This window comes from Homo sapiens, chromosome 1, assembly GCF_000001405.40.
Source record: "Homo sapiens chromosome 1, GRCh38.p14 Primary Assembly".
Taxonomy (NCBI): domain Eukaryota; kingdom Metazoa; phylum Chordata; class Mammalia; order Primates; family Hominidae; genus Homo; species Homo sapiens.
Genome location: NC_000001.11, coordinates 149,844,360 through 149,863,612, shown reverse-complemented (window position 1 = coordinate 149,863,612; position 19,253 = coordinate 149,844,360). Strand labels below are relative to the sequence as shown.

The following is a 19,253-nucleotide window of genomic DNA, read 5'->3' as shown; positions in this document are numbered from 1 at the left end:
AAAAAGTGTATACATGGGAGCACTCTGTGATGAGTAACTCAAAGGAGTGGTTAGAATTTGGGATCTACCTAGCAGCAGGGGAAAAGGAGGAGGAGTAAAGGACATATGGAAAACCAAATGACTTTTGAAAAGATAAATGGGCCCTTAGAATAGATGGAAGATTCGAGTCTTGTGACAATGTCTATTTGGGTGTGGTGACCACTTCTCATCTCCGAGGTTAGATTTGCTTCTAGTGCTGAAGAAGATTTATGACAACTGAGTTAAAAATTTGAGATTTGCGAGGAGGATCTGCTATTAAACAGGTAAGGGATTTTAGCTGTTTGTTTCAGCTGAAAATAATTCTTAAGTCGAAACTGGCACATTTGGAGGTAGCATGTCCTGATCCCCTTAAAAAGGGAACTGCACAGACACCGTATCTCTGATTCTGCCCAGGGTCCTGTGCCCTCTGACACCAGAAATCACCACTTCTCTCAGCCTTGTTTTGCGGTTGTTTTATCATGTTGCAATTTGGTTATGTCTTTTCTAATAGTGTTTAAAAGCAATCAAAGGCAGGAACTTTTCCTTTTATAAACTATTGTTGAGCTTATATTGGACACTGAACTAAGTGTCAGTTTACAAAAATGAATAAACAAAAATCACTGCCAGTAGGGAACACACAGCCAAGATGGGGGAGTAGTAAGATGTAAAGAGATGTAAAATAATGTGATAGATTCGGCCAGAGTTACTAAAGAGTCAGAAAAGGGCAAGCATGTTTCTTCCCTGTCCTGAAGCAGCCAAGGGAGAGGAAGATATCTGTTGCCAATGCTGGGGTGTTGGTTTAGGCATGTAGATGCTGTGATGCGCAGTGGAACCGTTCAATGAGCAGACAGGAGAACCAGCTTTATGCGGGGAGGGAGAGAATTGCTCCCCTCATCCCCCGTGAGTCACACCCTGGAGATTATAAGTTTAAACATTTTGATTTCGGGAGATTTTGAGTTTTGGGCTTAAAATGACTGAAGAACCACCAGGTGGATCTACGTGTCTCGAGTCCAGAAGTCTGAATACAGATTTACGATTTATGAGCACACAGAAGGTGGATCCAAGGGAGAGATTAAACAGGGCACAGAAGAGTTTTTAAAAATAATATTTTTCGGGAAAAAAACCCCAACAAAACACGATTCTTTCAGCAGAAACCAGAAGATTTTCTCATAGACTCTCCTACAGAGAGCCCTGATAAAGTAATAAACATGCTAACAGTAAGAACCCCAACCAATTTCATAGGGCAGTTTGCGGTAACTACTCCCAGTATGGAGCAGACAGTCCTCTTGCAAAACCCGATTTAGCAAACTTTGCTAGCTCCATGTGGGGCCTCCAAAGGACACAGCTGGGCACTAAATCCTGGCTGAAAACAAAGGCCGATTTAGAGGATCCGTAGAAACGGATGCACAGAATATCCCTCAGTCTTCTCTATGTAGCAGGCCCTCCATATACGCGGGTTCCCCAAGACCGAAAATATTAAACAAATGAATTTCTTTTTTAAAAAAAAGTACAACAAAAGATAGTAAAAATAAAAACAGTATAACAATTACTTACATAGCATTTACACTGGATTAGGTGTTACGAAGTAATTTAGAGACTATTTAAAGTACACGGGAGGATGTGCATAGTTATGTGCAAATACTACGCCACTTTCTATGAGAGACTTGAGCAACCTGGATTTTGGTATCGGCGGGGGCCCTGGACCAATCCCCTCTCAGTTCTACCGAGGGAGAACTGTTTTGTTTCTTCCAGCACGGCTTTGACCGACAGTGTGTTGGGATTCGCTGACGTCCATGAGAAAGCTTGGCAGCATGCTGAGACCAATTTTCCCAGGGCCAGAATTCTCCTGTGTGAGCTAAAATACAGTGGCTCGGTCCAACAAAACAGAGCCTGGAGCCAGGAATTATGGCGAACCTGCTCCCTCCCGTCCTCCCTTGGCGCACAGATCCCTGGCGCCGCCGCTCTTGAGGTCGCCTCTCGCGTGTCGACCTCATCGTCGGAACGGCGCTTCCTGAAGCTTTATATAAGCACGGCTCTGAATCCGCTCGTCGGGATTAAATCCTGCGCTGGCGCGCTCCTGCCAGTCTCTGGCCTCCATTTGCTCTTCCTGAGGCTCCCTCCAGAGACCTTTCCCTTAGCCTCAGTGCAATGCCTTCCGGGCGTCCTCAGACCAGACACAGGCCAAAGCCACTACAGAATCCGGAAGCCCCGGTTGGGATCTGAATTCTCCCGGGGACTGTGGCGTAGCGGTTAAAAAAAAAAAAGAGTGAGAGGGACCTGAGCAGAGTGGAGGAGGAGGGAGAGGAAAACAGAAAAGAAATGACGAAATGTCGAGAGGGCGGGGACAATTGAGAACGCTTCCCGCCGGCGCGCTTTCGGTTTTCAATCTGGTCCGATACTCTTGTATATCAGGGGAAGACGGTGCTCGCCTTGACAGAAGCTGTCTATCGGGCTCCAGCGGTCATGTCCGGCAGAGGAAAGGGCGGAAAAGGCTTAGGCAAAGGGGGCGCTAAGCGCCACCGCAAGGTCTTGAGAGACAACATTCAGGGCATCACCAAGCCTGCCATTCGGCGTCTAGCTCGGCGTGGCGGCGTTAAGCGGATCTCTGGCCTCATTTACGAGGAGACCCGCGGTGTGCTGAAGGTGTTCCTGGAGAATGTGATTCGGGACGCAGTCACCTACACCGAGCACGCCAAGCGCAAGACCGTCACAGCCATGGATGTGGTGTACGCGCTCAAGCGCCAGGGGCGCACCCTGTACGGCTTCGGAGGCTAGGCCGCCGCTCCAGCTTTGCACGTTTCGATCCCAAAGGCCCTTTTTAGGGCCGACCACTTGCTCATCTGAGGAGTTGGACACTTGACTGCGTAAAGTGCAACAGTAACGATGTTGGAAGGTAACTTTGGCAGTGGGGCGACAATCGGATCTGAAGTTAACGGAAAGCTACCGCGGCCCATAGCGCTCACAGCCGTAAAGACTTAAGTCGTTGACCGAAAGCGGCTTTTTCACTTACCTGGGCTTTTTTTTTTTTTTTTTTTTTTTTTAAAGCCTTTATCGGTATGAAAGGTTGAATGCTCTAGGTTTGAGCACTGCTTTCTCGGCTTGCTCTTCTGGTGCAGTATAGGCACACCTAGAGGGCCACGTCAGTCTTTGCGATCACCAAATCTGGTTCTGAGAAATAGGCACTGGCAATTTACACATGCCTTGCTGTGTAATCTCACTATATTTGCTCAGGCAAAGTGGGAGAAGCAGCCTTAGGTTTTCATTCTAGAGATGCCGGCTTTCCCACCTGATCGGCTTAGAGTTCACGATTGACTGTTTTGGGCTTCATTTCACCCTCTACATAACAAGCGGGTGGACTAGATGCCTTAGCAAGGGTCCGTGTTGTGTGGTGTCTCCAGCCACGCACTCAGCTCAATCTTAGCACAGTTAAAAAATGCCTTTCTAGCAAGTTATCTGCCCAGTGCCTGAAAAGTATCATTTCTTGTGTTCAATAAAAAGCCTCCTAATTTAATCAAGGACCTATGAGATAACTGTCTTTTAGTTGTGGCATTGCAAGGATACAAATGCAGAGATATTTTAAAGTGATCCTTCTGTAAGAGTGAACCAACGATATGATCTGAAAGCAACTTCACAGGTAATTCAGGTATGTGACTTCTACCTCTTAGGGCCTGTTGTAGCTTAGAATGAGAGACCTGCAGAAACATGCCCACCATCAATACAGAAAGCACAATTTAATTTTGACAAGGCCAAAAGCCAATTCTGTATCAGCATGGCGTATATTACAGCAAGCTATTCTTTACGCTACCACCTCTAAATTGCCCTAATTTGGATTAAAATGTGGGTTCACATTTCTAATCCTTATAGTTTTGCAGCCATTGCATTGCCCGTAAGATTTTTTTTTTCTTCATTCCAGGCTTATGATTTTACTGTGTATGTATTTGGGAGAAGAAATTCTGTCAGCTCCCAAAGGATAAACCAGCAGTTGCTTTATTGGTCTTCAGATGTGGCTGCAAACACTTGAGACTGAACTAAGCTTAAAACACGGTACTTAGCAATCGGGTTGCCAGCAAAGCACTGGATGCAAGCCTTGCCTTCCAGAAGCTTACCAGTCGGGTTGCCAGCAAAGCAGTGGATGCAAGACTTGCCCTCCAGGAGCTTACCATCACAACGAAGAAGACAAATAAATGCATAATATATAGACGACATAAATCCATACTGTACACATTTAAGAATAAACAGTCCAGTAGTAAGAGGCAGTACATATTCAATCTGCTGAGAAATGTAGACAATAACTACTATAAGAATCCTAATGCTACAGAAGTCACTGGCTGCTGGGAAACCGGGGAAAACTTGGCTATGGACGTGGGGGCTTGTGTCGGACTCTGAATAAAGAGCAGAATGATTGGCGTCCTACTGAGATACATAGTAAAGGGGGCGAGGGCAGGGAGGAAGTGGCAAGAATAACATTTGTGAAGATGTCCAGGTGAGAAATAGAGGTTTTAATGCTCAAGATGTTTCCTTTTCCCTTTTAAATCTGACCTGTGATTTCCAGCATTGCTATTTCGAATATCACTGATTGTTTTTAACTTTAAAGGCAATGCTGATGAATATATCTGATCCGCACCAAGATCCACTAAAGAAGGAGATCAAAAATTTGAAGATAAAGCAGAAAGGGAGTGGGGGAGAAAACACGTCCATTGTCTGAATTAGTGGTTCTCAAAGTGTAGCCTCTCATCTAGCAGCACTGATCACCTCGGATAAAATCTTGGGACCCATGCCAGACCTACTGAATGAGAAACTGAGGGGTGAGACATAGTAATCGGTGCTTTAAAAAAGCCCTCCCGATACACATTAAAGGTTGAAAGCCACTGATGCAGGTAACAGCTTTTCTTTTTTTCTTTTCTTCTTTCTTTCCCTCCCTCCCTCCCTCCCTCCCTCCCTCCCTTCCTTCCTTCCTTTCTTCCTTCCCTTCCTTCCCTTCCTTCCTCTTTCTTTTTTTGAGATGGAGTCTCGATCTGTCACACAGGCTGGAATGCAGTGGCACGATCTTGGCTCACCGCAATCCCCGCCTCCCGGGTTCAAGTGATTCTCCTGCCTCAGCCTCCCAGGTAGCTGGGACTACAGGTGCCCACCACCATGCCGGGCTAATTTTTGTATTTTTAGTAGAGATGGAGGTTTTGCCATGTTGGCCAGGCTGATCTCGAACTCCTGGCTTTAGGTGATCCACCCTCCTCGGCCTCCCAAAATGCTGGGATTACAGGCGTGAGCCACCGCGCCTGGCCTCTTTTTCTTTGGCATGAGCCACGGTGCCCGGCCAATTACTGAGAATTCCTGCCTTTTTCACAGGATTATTTTAAGGATCAAATGAAAAGTTCTGTGTGAAAGAAGAATGAGGCCATGAAGTGATACAGAAACCAAAGGTGATATATTTATTGCCTTTCCCACTCAATGTAGTTCGTTTTTTGTTTTGTTTTGTTTTGTTTTTTTGAGAGATGGTTTCACTCGACTTACTGTGACCAGGCGTTGCTTGGGTACTGCTGCTACTATGGAAATAAACAAAGACAAATCCTTACCCTGAGAAATGTTGCCAGCCTAATGCTGAGGTTAAGGAAGGGAAGGGGTATTAAGATAGGAGAGGGCAGAGGCAAGGAGGAGGGCCCAAAGAGATGAGGGCAAAGAAGAGCAAGGGAGCCGGGCACTGTGGTTCATGCCTATAATCCCAGCACTTTCGGAGGCCAAAGCAGACAGATCATGAGGTCAAGAGATCGAGACCATCCTGGCCAACATGGTGAAACCCCGTCTCTACTAAAAATATAAAACTTAGCTGGGCGTGGTGACACACACCTGTAGTCCCAGCTACTCCGGAGGCTGAGGCAGGAGAATCGCATGAACCCGGGAGACGGTGGTTGGAGTGAGCCGAGATCGCGCCACTGCACTCCAGCCTGGGTGACAGAGCAAGACTCCATCTCAAAAAAAAAAAAAAAAAGAAAAAAGAAAAGAAAAAAAAGAAAGAAAAAGAAAAAACAAAAAACCAGAAGAGCAAGGGAAGGCTCACAGGGCTGAATCTTGAAGAATGGGGGTTCTCAGGGTTACAGAGAAGGGGAGGACATTCTGGACAGAAATGGAATGTGTGAAGATATTGTGTACTTGGAGATTGCAGATGTCGTGTGGGGCTAAACATTCTTGTTCAGCTGCAAGAACATCTGAAACCTGGGAAGGCTGTGGGAAACATAAAGAACTAGATGTATAATATTTTCAGTTTTTTTTTAAATTAGTAACTATTAATAGAGTAGCACAAATTAATTGGGTGCTTGTTCTGGACCAGATACTGTGCTACTACTGTGCTAGGTCCTTTGTTTTTTTAGACATGGGGTCTCACTGCTGTTGCCGAGGCTGAAGTGCAGTGGCACAGTCACAGCTCACCACAGCCTCGAACTTCTGGCCTCAAGCAATCCTCTTGCCTCAGCCTCCTGAGTCGCTGGGATTACAGGCATGAGCACCGCAATTTACAGAAATTGTCACTTTCATGATTTCCAACAAAACAACGAGCAAGTTACTCGTTGTTTTACAAATGGGAAAAGTTAAACCTGTTGAGATTTGCTTCCTGAAGTCATGCACCTGTTTACATGGACAAGGCTAGGAATCAAACTTGGGTTTGTCTAACTCCAGAGTCCTTCCTAGTAATTAACCTCCGGTGCTCTGAACTGCCATGCAAAAGAATGTGAACTTCATTCTGAAGGGAATGGGAAGGTCGTGGAAAATTTTTAAGCATGAAAGTGACAGGCTCAAAACAGCAACACCAACCAACCAACCAACCAACAAAAAACCCTCAGTTTTTAAAAGATAGCTCTTGGCCGGGCGCGGTGGCTCACGCCTGTAATCCCAACGCTTTGGGAGGCCGAGGCGGGCGGATCACAAAATACAAAAAATACAAAACTACAAAAAATTAGCCGGACGTGGTGGTGGGCGCCTATAGTCCCAGCTATTCCGGAGGCTGAGGCAGGAGAATCGCATGGACCCGGTAGGCCAAGGTTGCAGTGAGCCGAGCTCGTGCCACTGCACTCCAGCCTGGGCGACAGAGCGAGACTCCGTCTCATAAAAAAAAAAAAAAAAAAAAAGATAGCTGTCATACGGAGTGGAAGCTCAATGGCAGGGCAGAAAGACCAGCCTGACTATGTAATCTACTAGACCAGAGCTGGCGAGGACTTCAGTTAAGGCATGGTCATGGGTGGACGGAGAAAAGGTGATACAATTGAAAGTCAGAAGACAGATTTAGTAATATTTGGAACTCATGAGATTTGGACAGAGGACAAGAGGAAGGGACACCCAACCAGAACAGATGGGGCTAATGAAGGTGTCTTCCAGGAAGATGGGGAATGTGGAAAGAAACAAATGGGCTTGGAAAGCAAGATGAGGCATGTGGTTTTGGAAATAAGCTGGGTTTGAAGTGCCTAGTATCCATCCAGAAGGACCTGTCTACCAGGCAGTTAGAAACATTGGTGTAGCCAGGCACAGTGGCTCACGTCTATAATCCCAGCACTTTGGGAGGCCAAGGTGGGAGGAGGGCTTGAGCCCAGGACTTCAAGACCAGCCTGGGCGATGAAGTGAGACCCTGACTCTACAAAAAATAAAAAAAATTAGCTGGGCCTGGTGGTGTGTGCCCGTAGTCCCAGCTACTCAGATGGCTGAGGTGGGAGGACCCCTGAACCCAGGAGTCCAAGGTTGCAGTGAGCTTTGATTGTGCTACTGCACTCCAGCCTGGACGAGTGAGACCCTGTTTCTCTTTCTCTCTCTATCTCCCTCTCTCTCTCTCTCTCTCTCTCTCTCACACACACACACACACACACACACACACACACAAAATGTGTAGAGCTCAGGATAGGGTCTCAGCAGAAGATAGCAATTTGGGAGCGCTTAGCTAAGGGACAGAAATAGTGAAAGCAGGCAATCAATCTCACTTGAGTTGCAGGGAGAAAAGAAGATGGCCAAGGCCAGCATGGGGGAAACCAGGAATATTGATGGGGAAGAGAAAGACATGAGAAGACTGAGATGGGGACCTAGAGAAGGATAAGGGTGACCAGGAGAGTGGACCCAGGGGACAAGTCCTCTTCTAAGGAAGAAAAATCAGTGTAAACGTGGCCATGTCTCTTACCACGTAGTTTCCCTCTAAACACACACACACACACACACACACACACACACACACACACCTGTCCCCCACTAGCCTAAGGCAGAATTAAATGTGAACAAAGCACGTTTTTCACTTCATAAAAGCCACAGATTCAGAGTGGACTTACTGGCAACCAAGGTAGCCACGTAGAAGCTGGTTATTAGAGGAAGAGGTGGGTTTTCTTCGAGACAGGGTCTCACTCCCTGTCACCCACACTGGAGTGCAGTGGCACAATCTCAGCTCACAGCAGCCTCCGCCTCCCGGACTTAAGCGATTCTCCCACCTCAGCCTCCCGAGTAGCTGGGACCACAGGCAAATGGCACCACCCCCGGCTAATTTTTTCATTTTTCTTTCTGTCTTTTTTTTTTTTTTTGGTAGAGACACAGGGTCTCGCTATGTTTCCCAAGCTGGTCTGGAACTTTGACTTCAAGCAATCCGCCCGACTTGGCCTCCCAAAGTGCTGGGATTAACAGCTGTGAGCCACAATGCCTAGTCAGAGGAAGAGTATTTCTTTACCCTATCCTTAATTATCCTTTAACTCTCACCTGAGGGTAGACAATGATTTAAGTACAGGGAATGATTAAATGTTAAAACTTAACATTTTAGAATGTTATCTTGTATTGATGAATTCAGCTTATGCTGGTCTCGCAAACAAATACGAAGACTGACAGATTCCTGTGAGTGCAGGCCTTCACAGTGCCAGGACCACAAGATGTAATGAATTCTATTCCTGACTGGATATAAAAAATGCCACGAAATTTTCCTTTTGAGATTCAGCCAGGGAGACCTCCTGGAGTTTAGAGGTACCCAGACTGGTGAGTAAAAGGAGTGTGACCTTGTGGGGGCAGTCAGAGGACCTAGATGTCTGACACCAACATCCCCAGGTTCCAGTCTCTGCTCAGTTACTACTGGGCCTGAGAAGCTGGGTGCAGAGATAGTGACCCACCCACCTCTGAAAGTCACTACTTTTTGAAGTCAGAATACCGCCCATACATTGTGGGCCTAAGCAGGTTACGAGGGTCTCGGCAGAGACCCAGAGGCATGCTCTAGAAATTGCTGTGACCCTGGAGCAGAAACATGTGGCAGTCCCCAGCAGAGCTCACCTACGCTGCTCTCCTCGCTTAACACGCCTCAGGAAAGGCAAAATGGCAGCTTTACAAAACGAAGTTTTATTCCATTTCCCCTTCTCCCCTCTTAATTCTCATAGATCGCTGCAGTGAATGCTTTTAACCTGTCAACTGTGATGAAACAAACAGAAAACCGAAGCCCTGGCTTCTTCTGAGGTGCAAATAAATGACCGAGAAGGTGTTATCTAAGACCTCTACAGCCATTTGTATCTGGCCGTGTGTAGAGTGGGCTCTGCAAGACCCTGCCTCACTTTCCCACTAAGAGGCCTTGGACTTCCCAGCTCCCAGAGACTGTAGAGATCACCTCTGTGGCCTCCTGTCACGATTTCCTAAGGCGAAGAGCTTCATTTGCCCAACGGAGGCCCACGTTCTTCCTGTCTGATCTACTGTCTTCCCAAGGATCTGAACTCGGGCACCAGCGTCTGCCCACATGTCCGACGAAAACAACGTAAAGGAACTACTGAGTCTGGACAGAAAATCCAGACATACCATGCAGCTTCTAAGAGGACCGAGTGCCTTCACTGGAATAGTGAATCTCCTTCTGTGGACATGGACAGGGAACGGCTCGATAAAGCCCAGATTCACAAAATTCCGCCCACACCCCGTGCCCCCGGGAATTTTGGCTTAGGGGCAGGATATGGGGGTTACCACTGTGCTAGTGGAGGTGGCGCGGGGACTGAACGGCAGCCCCAGCGCAGTTCTCCCCACGTTTGTCCGCAGAACCCCGGCGAGGCCGAGGTGGTCATTTCCCTCCCTAGCCGGATGGCCGCGCCGGGTGAGGCCGGTTTGGGCGCGAAGCACGGGCGTGTGGCGCTCCACTTCCGCAAAGGCCAGCCGCGCTCAGGACCGCGAGCCCTGAGCGTCCCCCTAGTGACCCCTGGCCTCGTGCCCGACGCCCCGTCTCTCCTGCCCCGGCCCCCCCGCCACGCAGGGCCCCGGTCACGCGCGGGGGGAGCCGGACCGCCAAAGCCCGCGAGCCGGCGCCCAGGAAAGCGTCCGCAGCCCGGCCAGTGCGGATAGGCCAATTGGCCGAAGTCGGCAAAGCTCAAGACGGCACCGCAGCAGGGGGACCCGACCCCGTTTTGTTGGGAGCCTAAGCGGAAGTGCCTTCCCCGCTCTAATGCCGGAGGAGCACGGAGGGCAAGCGGTACAGCTTCTTCCAAGTGCTGATGTGGGTGGCTCTGAAAAGAGCCTTTTGGATACGATGGAACCTCCGGCCGAACCGCCACTTCTTAAGCCCGCTCTCCACGGATGCGGCGGGCCAGCTGGATGTCCTTGGGCATAATGGTCACGCGCTTGGCGTGGATGGCGCACAGGTTCGTGTCTTCGAACAGCCCCACCAGGTAGGCCTCGCTGGCCTCCTGCAGCGCCATCACGGCCGAGCTCTGGAAGCGCAGGTCCGTCTTAAAGTCCTGCGCGATCTCGCGTACCAGCCGCTGGAAGGGCAGCTTGCGGATCAGCAGCTCCGTGGACTTCTGGTAGCGCCGGATCTCCCGCAGGGCTACGGTGCCGGGCCGGTAGCGGTGCGGCTTCTTCACCCCGCCCGTGGCCGGCGCGCTCTTGCGGGCCGCCTTGGTGGCCAGCTGCTTCCTCGGGGCCTTGCCGCCGGTCGACTTGCGAGCAGTCTGCTTAGTACGGGCCATAGCGAACCAAAACACAGGCTTACCAGCGCAGCGGCGGGGAGAAAAACGAGCTCCTAGCCCCGCCGCAGCCGTCTTTATAAGCACAGTCTTTTCCCGATTGGGCGGAACAATAATTGAAAATCCCGCGCTGGCTGTCCATTGGCTGTGACGTCACCCGTCCTAAAGTCACCGGTTGGCTTGGGCAGATTCCTCCCTAATCCCGCCCACCCCGCCTCACTTTCTACTTACCAGTTGGCGAAGTTTCGCAAGCTTGTTTTTCCCCTTTCCTTCAGGGTGAAAGTCATTTTCCATTGCAGCTTTGTCAGATTGTTCCCTTTCCGCCCTTCGCTTCCTTAGAACACACTGCCCGCAATACCCCCCCTTTCTTGCTGCGCCCTACAGCTCCCGCGTGGAACCTCATTCTTCCATTTGCCCCCCGCCCCCAGTTGCTACTTGGCGGATCGTTTTTCGCCTGTCGGGTGCCTTTTGGGTGGGAGAGGTGCCCGCCCCCAGGACGCAAGATTCCGCCTCCGAGGCCCTTACTCTCCGCCGCCAGGGCGCTTTGGAAAACAAAACAGAAACTAAGACTTAAGTCAGCTCAGTGAAGCCAAGACCCAGCTCCGCCACACTAGCGAGCACTACCCGCTCAGGGCCCTCCCCATCGGGGGTGGGGACGAGGAGCACGTCCCGCTGGTGCCAGACTAGGTCTAAGTGTCCGGCCATAGCCTGCGGAAACCACTAGGGAAGCGCGCGCTCCGCGCGCAACACTTCAGCGCGTTGGGTACTGCCCGCGGCGCTGGTGTTTGTGACTGTGTGGAGCGGACCGTGGCGGCGCCCAGGACGTTTGGTGCCTGCACCTGCCCTGGGAAGTCCTAGGACTGGGGACCCACTCATCGAAGAGCCAAGGCAGTTACGTGCTCCAGATGGAAGACGGCGCGCACACACACACACCCCGCCCCGCCCCGCCCCGTCCCGTCCCGTCCCGTCCCGTCCCGTCCCGTCAGCTCCAGGTTCGCTATTCACTACTGAGGAACGCTGGACTGAGAGTGGCCAGCATTAACAACTCTTTTATTTGAAAACGTGGGTGGCTCTGAAAAGAGCCTTTTGAGTTCACAGGTGCCCCTTCGAGACGCGGGCCGGGCTGGGCCCACTTGGGCCGGACGTCAGCCTCACTTGCCCTTTGCCTTGTGGTGACTCTCCGTCTTCTTAGGGAGCAGTACGGCCTGGATGTTAGGCAAGACGCCGCCCTGGGCGATGGTGACTTTGCCCAGCAGCTTGTTCAGTTCCTCGTCGTTGCGGATGGCCAGCTGGAGGTGACGAGGGATGATGCGCGTCTTCTTGTTGTCCCGAGCCGCGTTGCCCGCCAGCTCCAGGATCTCGGCGGTCAGATACTCGAGGACCGCAGCCATGTAGACGGGCGCGCCGGCCCCCACTCGCTCCGCGTAGTTGCCTTTGCGCAGCAAGCGATGCACTCGCCCTACCGGGAACTGAAGGCCAGCGCGGGACGAGCGCGACTTGGCCTTGGCGCGGGCCTTGCCTCCTTGCTTGCCACGACCAGACATGACAGCGATAGTAGTCACCGAGAGAAACTCCTGCCTGGCGATCGGGAAAGTCGCCGAAAACGCCGCTGCTTCACCTTTTTATAGACAGAACGGCGATTGTCCACGGAGCACTTTGATTGGCTCAAGCAAATTTTGTCCCGATAGCCAATAGGATAGCTCAGCCAGAATCCACTCATTTACATAATCTCGTCTCCCTCGCATTGCGCGCCGCGGAAAACTCGCGAACCATAACGCAGCGTCATGCGCACAGCCTCTGTAAGTACACAGTCGTTTCCGGTAGACCCCGAGCCTACCGCTCTGCTTGCGTTCTCGGGGGTCGGTGTCGGTCTTGGGTCTGGCCATGCCTGAGCCTGCAAAGTTCGCGCCGGCTCCCAAGAAGGGCTCCAAGAAAGCCGTCACCAAAGCCCAGAAGAAAGACGGCAAGAAGCGCAAGCGCAGCCGCAAGGAGAGCTACTCCATCTACGTGTACAAGGTGCTGAAGCGGGTCCACCCCGACACCGGCATCTGGTGCAAGGCCATGGGCATCATGAACTCCTTCCTCAACGACATCTTCGAGCGCATCGCGGGAGAGGCGTCCCGCCTGGCGCACTACAACAAGCGCTCCACCATCACGTCCCGGAGATCCAGACGGCCGTGCGCCTGCTGCTGCCCGGCGAGCTGGCCAAGCACGCCGTGTCCGAGGGCACCAAGGCGGTCACCAAGTACGCCAGCTCCAAGTGAGTCCCTGCCGGGACCTGGCGCTCGCTCGCTCCCTCCCTCCCTCCCTCCGCGGGTCGCCGGCTGCTTTGTCTCCAAAGGCTCTTTTCAGGGCCATTTAACCACCTCAGTTAAAGAATCTTTCTTGTGTTGTCAGTCCCAGTTGATGTTTTTGGCTTCACGTCTGGTTAACTTTAGGAGAGCACACAACACCAAGCACAGATAACTATTTTCTTTTCACATAGGCATTGCTATAAGTAAGCTTACATAGATTGATAGTGGTATCTTACTATGGCATAGATAGGTTGGGGCTTGCCTTAGAGGGCTGCTCTTGAACTGTCTTTGGCCTGGTTACGTACCCGTGAATATGTGCCCAGGAGATTGTTTCCTGTTGAGAAACGCAGTGTTAATTTTGATAAGTTTATGTAAGATCAAATTGTGTATATGAACAAAGGTTGGGTCCGCTCTTCAGTGGTAAAATGAAGGTAGAGATTAAATGCATTGTATGCTCTCAGATGTGTACTTAAAAGGGAATAGCTCAACTTTTATATATGGTATCGAGAAACCTGAGGTTTTTATATCATTGGTTCACAAACACGTGCCTACACCACCACTCATGTGAAAATTCCTTAAGGAGGTAGATGGAAGTTCGATTTTGATAACCAGGAGTTAACACCGATAACCTTCTGCGCTTTCTAGTTGAGATACCCTAAAATCTACCCAATACCATTAAATGGTTTTTTTCCCCAAGAGTTATCACTCGGAAAAGCTTGTCCAGTTTAAGGGTTTGTTCCATACAATAGCAACAAAATATACGATTTCTGAAGCCAGAGTTTGGGATCCCTGAAGAGGAGAAGGACCACCAATTTGCAAGGGAGGTTGATTAGGTTTGTTTTCTGCTTTGGGAACACTGGACTTGGAATCACACAGCCTCATTAACCTCAAAATATTATACTGATTGCTCTGGGGATCGTAAATCCTAGGCTGGCCACAATAGAAGCGAGGAAAGCAATTAGGAGGCTGTTGCAGTGTTGTGGGCTGGAACAGTGATTAAGACTTAAAGTCTCTCCAGACCAGCAGCATCAGCATTACTTGAAGTTACTAAAAATGAAAATTCCCAGGTTCCATTATTTGTGTTAAGCTTTCTGGGTGATGGTGATATATGCTAAAGTGTGAAAAACAACGGATAAATGACATGCTGGAGTGCAATGGTGGTAATGGAAACAAATGTTGGATTTTATCTTTGAGGTAGAATTAATAGGTGTGGCTGAGGAACAGGATTTAGCTAACAGTGAAACCCCTAGATTTTTGGCTTGAGCAACTGTGTAGATAGTGGTACTATTAGGATAGAACACTGAGAGAAGATATTCGTTGGGACACTGAAGGGAGATCCAGAGTTCCGACTGAAATTTGAGAAGCTCTTTGCTATTCAAGTGGATATGTGCAGTTGACAGTTTGAGAGATGCATCTAGGGTTCAGTAAAGACAACACAAGCCTGTCTTTAGGGTCTACCTGTGAACTGTGAACACAGCAATGAGAATGATGGACATCACCTTTAAGTATTTTTCTAGACTTTATTACTCATGTGTTTGTCATGAGGTGTAACTTAGTAGTTCATAGTCCTATAATGTATGTTATTGACTAGGTAGCATTTATTTTTCTAATTGTTTCTGTTATAGTGCTGCCACATGTGTTTCCCAGAAACGCATTTTACCCACAGTTCTTAGGGTTGGCCTGATTAGTTTAATTGCTGTCTGAACCTGCTTCTTACTGTGATTAGTTCAGGAATCTAGATCAAACTCATTGGCATTTAACATTTCAGGAAGTGAACTGAGTAACAACTAACTCAGCAGGGGAGTGTAGTATGCTATTATCTTTTGGGAAAGCAGCTTATTTGCTTTCAAGAGGCAGCAGGAGGATGGACTGTCTTTAGGTATGAAGGCAAGAATGATTATAGACAATATGCAGAGGAGGACACAGTGTGGGAGAATCAGGGAACTGAGCCACTCATGGAGTTCAGCCAACCTTGGATCCCTGCTGCACCTTTGGACTTCCAGTTAAGCCAATTTGTCTGACATATTTACTTATACCAGTTTGAATCTTGAAATATTTCAGGAATAATAATTTCCTAGATAAAAGGAAAGACCTTTCATGAAAGGTCTCAAGTCAAATAGGGTCAATTAGGACAGAGTTGCTCCAATTACATATTTGGAACAGATGTCCAAATGTTAATACTTGACTAAGGCTAAAGACTAATATTACCATCACAGGAAAAATGTCCAGGGTTTTTTTTCAGATGTGAAATTTTATTTAAAAATTTTAAATAAACTAAATCAAAAAATTTTAGTAGTTGTACTAATTTCCTGGGGCTGTCAAAGTACCACAAACTGTATGGCGTAAAACAACACAAAGTTATTCTTTCATGGTTTTAGAGGCTAGAAGTTTGAAATCAACGTGTTGGTAGGGCCATGCTCTCTCCAAACCCACTAGGGGAAGACTCCTGTCTTTCAGTGTCTGGTAGCCCCACTTGTTCTTTGGTTTCTGGCAGCATAACTGTAATCTCTACCTCAGTTTTTTCATGTATGTCTCCATGTTTTTTTACTTTCTTTCTTGAGATGGAGTTTCACTCTTGTTGCCCAGGCTGGAGTGCAGTGGCATGATCTTGGCTTACTGCAACCTCTGTGCCCCGGGTTCAAGCAATTTTCCTGCCTCAGCCTCCCGAGTAGCTGGGATTACAGGCATGCGTCAGCACGCCCGGCTGATTTTGTATTTTTGGTAGAGATGGAGTTTCATCATGTTAGTCAGGCTGGCCTCGAACTGACCTCAGGTGATCCACCTGCCTTGGCCTCCCAAAGTGCTGGGATTACAGATGTGAGCCACTGCACCCGGCTGTCTCCATGTCTTCTTATAAGGGTATCAGTCATACTGGATTAGGGCCCACCCTAAAGACCTCATTTTAACTTGATTACCTCTGTAAAGACCCTGTTTCCAAAGAAGGCAAAATTCTAAGCAACTAGGGGTTAGACTTCAACATATCTTTCGGGGGGACACAACTCAACCCATAACAGTAGTCAATGGCTGTGGCAGGCTAAATGTGGCTCCCAAATATGTCCATATCCTAATCCCTACAGCCTGTGAATATTACCTTATATAGCCAAGAGGATTTTGCAGATGTGATTCTGAGATTGAGAGATTATGCCAGATTATCCAGGTAGGCCCCAAATGTAATCACCACAGTCCTTATAGGAGAGGCAAGAAAGTCAAGTGTAGAAGGAGGCGATAGAAGGAGAGAGGGATTTGAAGATTAATAGGCTGCTTGCTTTGAAGACAGAGGGAAGGGACCATAAACCAGAAATAAACCTCTAGAAGCTGGAAAAGGCATGGAAATAGACCCTCCCTTAAGGTCTCTGGAGGGAGTGCAGCCTTGATTTCTACCGAGTAAAATTGATTTTGTACTTCAGACCTCCAAAACTGTAAGAGAATGACTGTTGTTTTAAAACCATTGAGTTTGTAGTAATTTGTTGCAGCAGCCACAAGAAACTAATACAACATCTATATAGAATTTTTTCAATAATTGGAGAAATTTGAATATGGATTGCATATTAATATTACTGAATCAGCATTAAATTTGTTAGGTGTAATAATGTGATTGTAGCTATTTAGGAGAATATCCTATTTTTAAGAGACATGCCACCATATTTAGGGAGAAGTGCCAACATATTTGCAGTTTATTTTCAAATGGTTCAGAGGCTGTCTGTGTACATGAGAAGACAAAGATAAGGCAAATGCAGCAAAATTGTAATAATTGGTGAATCCAGGTGAAGGGACTATGGCTGGTCTTTGTACTTTTTTTTCCAACTTTTCTGTAGGTTTAAAATTTTCAAAATAAAAAAATGGGAAATACTTTAAAAATTGTAATCAAAGACATTAGTACAGAAACTTTCATAATGTATTTTATTTTTACAGTAAAATTAATTTATGTAAATTGATAGAATTTTACTAATTTCACTCCCAAGTTACATTAAAAGGCTTACATATGTTTGATAATAGCATATGTAAACTAGAACTCTGAATGATATCCATTGGTCATAATACGTACTATGTAGCGGTAATGGTGACTTTTGTGATTGCACAAGTCTAGAGATGCCCCAAATGACATTGACTTAGACATCTGGTTATTCTAAGGCTGAAACTGAAGTTGAATAGAAGGTTTTAGTCAAATACTGAGATGAAAACTGAGGCAGTCCTGGCGGGGGGGAGTGAGTGTGTGTGTATATATACACACATAGACATCATGCTTCTAAACATTTACAGAAAGAAAGGGTAGATTATCTACAAAAAAATAAGAATCAGACTGATATGAGATCTTACAAACCTAACCCCCTTCTCTTTCCTAAACTCCAGATTCTCATATTTCTGACTTCCTATTTGATATTTACACTTCGATATTTACCAGGAGTCTTCAACATTTTGTTCAAAACAGTACTCTTGGTTTTCTTCCTCCAAGACTACTCCTTACTCATATCAGCAAATAGCAGCTCTTTTCAAGTGCTCAGTGTAAAAACCTACAATTAATCCTTGATTTCTCTTTCAGTCAGCCTATACTAAATCAATTTCATTTAAAATATCTCGGCTACTACTCTGCATCTCCACTGCTACCATCGGCCTCTCCAGTCACATTCTCCAAGAGCACTCTATCTCATTTAAAAGACAAAATCTCTGCAGTGGCCTGTGATGCTCCTTAATGGCCTACATAATCCAGCCCTCAAGCACCTCCGTGATCTCTGTAAAACTTTCCCTTGGTCACTGTGCTTCAGCCACATTAACCAGCTTGCATATTTCTCACATTCACCAAGCTTGTTCCTGCCTTGGGGCCTTTGTACTTACCATGTTCTGTTCTGAGAATACTCTGCCTCAAGATATCCTACAACTATCTTACTGTATTCAGCTCTCTGCTCAAGTATTAACTGATGAAACCTGTCATCCCTACTCCACTCCATGTTCTGCTTTACTTAACAGCAATTGCACATATGGCCCCCTGAATAATATACATTTAGTCACTTATTTTTACTTATCTGCTAATTAAAATGTAGACTTTTTCTATTCTGTTTACTGCTGTATTCCCAGCATGTTTTATCCGAATGTGCAGTGGTTTCTTTTCTTCTCCCTTATCGTGGGAAGTGATGTGCACAAATACACATAATGGAGCCTGAATGTCATATTGCTTTCATACCTGTGTGAATTTTGGTAAGAAAGGAAAAGTAGCGATTGACAGGTAATATAATTACATTAAGTCACTCTCATAGTTAGCTGTTTATTGCTTTCCTGCTCTTATTCTCAGTCCCCAGGACCAAATGTTGACCACTACCTTCCCCCACATATAATTAGGTTATTTACCGAACGCCATGCAGGTGGCTGTTAAAAGGAAGATATATACTTACCTTATAAACTCAACTTTTCCCTGTTGTCTTTCTGTCTCACCCCTACCTCCATGCTTTAAATTAACTTTTCAGGCTTAGGCCTTATCTCTCAGTAGAGCCATATAAGGTATGTGTAAAAGCAGGAAAATGTTTCCTGGGGATGAAGCTTTGAAAAGCTTTTTTTTTTTTTTCTTTTGGCAATAAAATAAGGTAGATTCAGCACAATACCTAATAACTAAAAAATCTGTTTTTAATTGGGTGGGGCAGACAGCAAGTGTGTCATCCTGGAAGATACTATTTGGGATTTTATGTAGGTACATAAGAGAAAAAAGTGAACAAAAGCAAGGGGCTACCAGGACGCCGCAGTATGCTTAACATGTATTTTCTAAGTTTGTATTATGCCTTTATCTTGGTACTTTTATCTTCTGTTCTCACTTGATCTTTTTGAAATGTATTTTAAATCCTAATAAAAATATATAAAGTCTGGAATTAATAAAGGATTAAATGAAACTTTTGTATATCTCACTGAAATTCTCAGAAAAAAGGGGGGTGTGGGGAGGGGGAATTGCCTGGGGTAGTGAGTGAAAATTGTGACCAGGTTCTTACTAAGGAATATGGCAACTGCATAATCAAATGTC

The 19,253-nt window shown here is 47.1% G+C and overlaps 3 protein-coding genes and 1 pseudogene across 12 annotated transcripts, besides 4 other annotated features; 2 read left to right on the top strand and 2 right to left on the bottom strand.

The window, feature by feature from the left end:
• Positions 1–2,372: 2,372 nt before the first annotated feature.
• Positions 2,373–19,125, top strand: H4C15 (H4 clustered histone 15). 9 transcript variants are annotated; one of them, XM_047424442.1, is made up of 3 exons: positions 2,454–2,911; positions 3,932–4,501; positions 9,396–19,125. In XM_047424442.1, the coding sequence occupies exon 1, from the start codon at positions 2,482–2,484 to the stop codon at positions 2,791–2,793; it is 312 nt and encodes a 103-aa protein (XP_047280398.1). In that variant the 5' UTR covers positions 2,454–2,481; the 3' UTR covers positions 2,794–2,911; positions 3,932–4,501; positions 9,396–19,125. The 9 variants fall into 9 exon arrangements, 6 of the variants coding, with proteins under 6 accessions (XP_047280392.1, XP_047280398.1, XP_047280395.1 ...); XM_047424439.1 differs by having other exon boundaries at positions 3,932–4,895; XM_047424434.1 differs by having other exon boundaries at positions 2,454–3,661.
• Positions 9,771–10,449: an enhancer, noted in NCBI's record as "NANOG-H3K27ac-H3K4me1 hESC enhancer chr1:149824726-149825404 (GRCh37/hg19 assembly coordinates)". NCBI's record gives its function as "activates a minimal SCP1, AML or CMV promoter by ChIP-STARR-seq in primed H9 embryonic stem cells {active_cell/tissue: H9 hESC(primed)}" and the evidence as "EXISTENCE:reporter gene assay evidence [ECO:0000049][PMID:30033119]".
• Positions 10,450–11,127: an enhancer, noted in NCBI's record as "NANOG-H3K27ac-H3K4me1 hESC enhancer chr1:149824048-149824725 (GRCh37/hg19 assembly coordinates)". NCBI's record gives its function as "activates a minimal SCP1, AML or CMV promoter by ChIP-STARR-seq in primed H9 embryonic stem cells {active_cell/tissue: H9 hESC(primed)}" and the evidence as "EXISTENCE:reporter gene assay evidence [ECO:0000049][PMID:30033119]".
• Positions 10,488–11,005, bottom strand: H3C15 (H3 clustered histone 15). The gene has a single exon (NM_001005464.3). The coding sequence runs from the start codon at positions 10,956–10,958 to the stop codon at positions 10,548–10,550; it is 411 nt and encodes a 136-aa protein (NP_001005464.1). The 5' UTR covers positions 10,959–11,005; the 3' UTR covers positions 10,488–10,547.
• Positions 11,807–12,489: an enhancer, noted in NCBI's record as "OCT4-NANOG-H3K27ac-H3K4me1 hESC enhancer chr1:149822691-149823368 (GRCh37/hg19 assembly coordinates)". NCBI's record gives its function as "activates a minimal SCP1, AML or CMV promoter by ChIP-STARR-seq in naive H9 embryonic stem cells {active_cell/tissue: H9 hESC(naive)}" and the evidence as "EXISTENCE:reporter gene assay evidence [ECO:0000049][PMID:30033119]".
• On the bottom strand, positions 12,019–12,552 carry H2AC19 (H2A clustered histone 19). Its single transcript, NM_001040874.1, has one exon. It carries the CDS (start codon positions 12,497–12,499, stop codon positions 12,107–12,109), a length of 393 nt encoding a protein of 130 aa, NP_001035807.1. The 5' UTR covers positions 12,500–12,552; the 3' UTR covers positions 12,019–12,106.
• H2BC20P (H2B clustered histone 20, pseudogene) lies at positions 12,840–13,421 on the top strand (annotated as a pseudogene). Its single transcript, NR_036461.1, has one exon. The product of NR_036461.1 is annotated as a H2B clustered histone 20, pseudogene (transcript).
• Positions 17,525–18,288: an enhancer, noted in NCBI's record as "OCT4-NANOG hESC enhancer chr1:149816892-149817655 (GRCh37/hg19 assembly coordinates)". NCBI's record gives its function as "activates a minimal SCP1, AML or CMV promoter by ChIP-STARR-seq in naive and primed H9 embryonic stem cells {active_cell/tissue: H9 hESC(naive and primed)}" and the evidence as "EXISTENCE:reporter gene assay evidence [ECO:0000049][PMID:30033119]".
• Positions 19,126–19,253: the final 128 nt, after the last annotated feature.

Excerpts from the sequence above, each read along its gene's own strand:
- H4C15 (XM_047424442.1), top strand. The coding sequence starts at position 2,482 with ATGTCCGGCAGAGGAAAGGGCGGAAAAGGCTTAGGCAAAGGGGGCGCT.
- H3C15 (NM_001005464.3), bottom strand. The coding sequence starts at position 10,958 with ATGGCCCGTACTAAGCAGACTGCTCGCAAGTCGACCGGCGGCAAGGCC.
- H2AC19 (NM_001040874.1), bottom strand. The coding sequence starts at position 12,499 with ATGTCTGGTCGTGGCAAGCAAGGAGGCAAGGCCCGCGCCAAGGCCAAG.